At 46.2% G+C, this 2768-nt stretch overlaps 2 annotated features.

The window, feature by feature from the left end:
* Positions 214 to 955: an enhancer, noted in NCBI's record as "H3K27ac-H3K4me1 hESC enhancer chr10:85546463-85547204 (GRCh37/hg19 assembly coordinates)". NCBI's record gives its function as "activates a minimal SCP1, AML or CMV promoter by ChIP-STARR-seq in naive H9 embryonic stem cells {active_cell/tissue: H9 hESC(naive)}" and the evidence as "EXISTENCE:reporter gene assay evidence [ECO:0000049][PMID:30033119]".
* Positions 956 to 1699: an enhancer, noted in NCBI's record as "H3K27ac-H3K4me1 hESC enhancer chr10:85545719-85546462 (GRCh37/hg19 assembly coordinates)". NCBI's record gives its function as "activates a minimal SCP1, AML or CMV promoter by ChIP-STARR-seq in naive and primed H9 embryonic stem cells {active_cell/tissue: H9 hESC(naive and primed)}" and the evidence as "EXISTENCE:reporter gene assay evidence [ECO:0000049][PMID:30033119]".

Here is a 2768-nt window from a genome sequence, read left to right as displayed (position 1 = left end):
AAAATATTTGCAAATTATGCATTTGACAAAGACTAATATTCAGAATCTATGAGGAACTAAAATAATTCAATAAGAAAAATCCAAATAGGCCAGGCACTGTGGCTCATGCCTGTAATCCCAGTACTTTGGGAGTCCAAGGAGGGCGGATCACGAGGTCAGGAGTTTGAGACCAGCCTGACCAACATGGTGAAACTCCATCTCTACTAAAAACACAAAAATTGGCCAGGTGCTGTGGCACACACCTGGAATCCCAGCTATTTGGGAGGCTGAGGCAGGAGAATTGTTTGAACTTGGGAGGCAGAGGTTGCAGTAAGCTGAGATAGCACCACTGCACTCCAGCCTGGGTGACAGAGTGAGACTCCATCTCAAAAAAAAAGAAAAAGAGAAAAGCAAATAACTCCATTAGAAAGTCGGAAAAAGACATTAACACACATTGATCCAAAGAAGACACACAAGTGTCCAACTAGCATATGGAAAAAATATTCAACATAACTAATCATTAGAAATGCAAGTTAAAATCACAGTGAGATACCATCATATACCGGTTAGAGCGACTATTATTAAGAAGTCAAGAGGGGGAGGAGCCAAGATGGCCGAATAGGAACAGCTCCGGCCTACAGCTCCCAGCATGAGCGACGCAGAAGAGGGGTGATTTCTGCATTTCCATCTGAGGTACCGGGTTCATCTGACTAGGGAGTGCCAGACAGTGGGCGCAGGTCAGCGGGTGCGCTCACCGTGCGCCAGCCGAAGCAGGGCGAGGCATTGCCTCACTCGGGAAGCGCAAGGGGTCAGGGAGTTCCCTTTCCTAGTCAAAGAAAGGGGTGACAGACGGCACCTGGAAAATCGGGTCACTCCCACCCGAATACTGCGCTTTTCCGACTGGCTTAAAACACGGCACACCACGAGGTTATATTACGCACCTGGCTTGGAGGGTCCTACGCCCACGGAATCTCGCTGATTGCGAGCACAGCAGTCTGAGATCAAACTGCAAGGCGGGAGCGAGGCTGGGGGAGGGGCGCCCGCCATTGCCCAGGCTTGCTTAGGTAAACAAAGCAGCCCAGAAGCTCGAACTGGGTGGAGCCCACCACAGCTCAAGGAGGCCTGCCTGCCTCTGTAGGCTCCACCTCTGGGGGCAGGGCACAGACAAACAAAAAGACAGCAGTAACCTCTGCAGACTTAAATGTCCCTGTCTGACAGCTTTGAAGAGAGCAGTGGTTCTCCCAGCACACAGCTGGAGATCTGAGAACGGGCAGACTGCCTCCTCAAGTGGGTCCCTAATCCCTGACCCCTGAGCAGCCTAATTGGGAGGCACCCCCCCAGCAGGGGCACACTGACACCTCACACAGCAGGGTATTCCAACAGACCTGCAGCTGAGGGTCCTGTCTGTTAGAAGGAAAACTAACAAACAGAAAGGACATCCACACCAAAAACCCATGTGTACATCACCATCATCAAACACCAAAAGTAGATAAAACCACAAAGATGGGGAAAAAACAGAACAGAAAAGCTGGAAACTCTAAAAAGCAGAGCGCCTCTCCTCCTCCAAAGGAATGCAGTTCCTCACCAGCAACAGAACAAAGCTGGATGGAGAATGACTTTGACTAGTTGAGAGAAGAAGGCTTCACACGATCAAATTACTCTGAGCTACGGGAGGACATTCAAACCAAAGGCAAAGAAGTTGAAAACTTTGAAAAAAATTTAGAAGAATGTATAACTAGAAAACCAATACAGAGAAGTGCTTAAAGGAGCTGATGGAGCTGAAAACCAAGGCTCGAGAAATACGTGAAGAATGCAGAAGCCTCAGGAGCCGATGCGATCAACTGGAAGAAGGGGTATCAGCAATGGAAGATGAAATGAATGAAATGAAGCAAGAAGGGAAGTTTAGAGAAAAAAGAATAAAAAGAAATGAGCAAAGCCTCCAAGAAATATGGGACTATGTGAAAAGACCAAATCTACGTCTGATTGGTGCACCTGAAAGTGATGGGGAGAATGGAACCAAGTTGGAAAACATGCTGCAGGATATTATCCAGGAGAACTTCCCCAATCTAGCAAGGCAGGCCAATGTTCAGATTCAGGAAATACAGAGAACGCCACAAAGATACTCCTCGAGAAGAGCAACTCCAAGACACATAACTGTCAGATTCACCAAAATTGAAATGAAGGAAAAAATGTTAAGGGCAGCCAGAGAGAAAGGTTGGGTTACCCTCAAAGGGAAGCCCATCAGACTAACAGCGGATCTCTCGGCAGAAACCCTACAAGCCAGAAGAGAGTGGGGGCCAATATTCAACATTCTTAAAGAAAAGAATTTTCAAGCCAGAATTTCATATCCAGCCAAACTAAGCTTCATAAGTGAAGGAGAAATAAAATACTTTACAGACAAGCAAATGCTGAGAGATTTTGTCACCACCAGGCCTACCCTAAAAGAGCTCCTGAAGGAAGCGCTAAATATGGAAAGGAACAACCGGTACCAGCCGCTGCAAAATCATGCCAAAATGTAAAGACCATCGAGACTAGGAAGAAACTGCATCAACTAACGAGCAAAATCACCAGCTAACATCATAATGACAGGATCAAATTCACACATAACAATATTAACTTTAAATGTAAATGGACTAAATGCTCCAATTAAAAGACACAGACTGGCAAATTGGATAAAGAGTCAAGACCCATCAGTGTGCTGTATTCAGGAAACCCATCTCACGTGCAGAGACACACATAGGCTCAAAATAAAAGGATGGAGGAAGATCTACCAAGCAAATGGAAAACAA

This window comes from Homo sapiens, chromosome 10 (assembly GCF_000001405.40).
Source record: "Homo sapiens chromosome 10, GRCh38.p14 Primary Assembly".
Lineage (NCBI taxonomy): Eukaryota > Metazoa > Chordata > Mammalia > Primates > Hominidae > Homo > Homo sapiens.
Note: the sequence above shows the minus strand (reverse complement) of the source record. Positions and strands in the feature narration are given on the sequence as shown.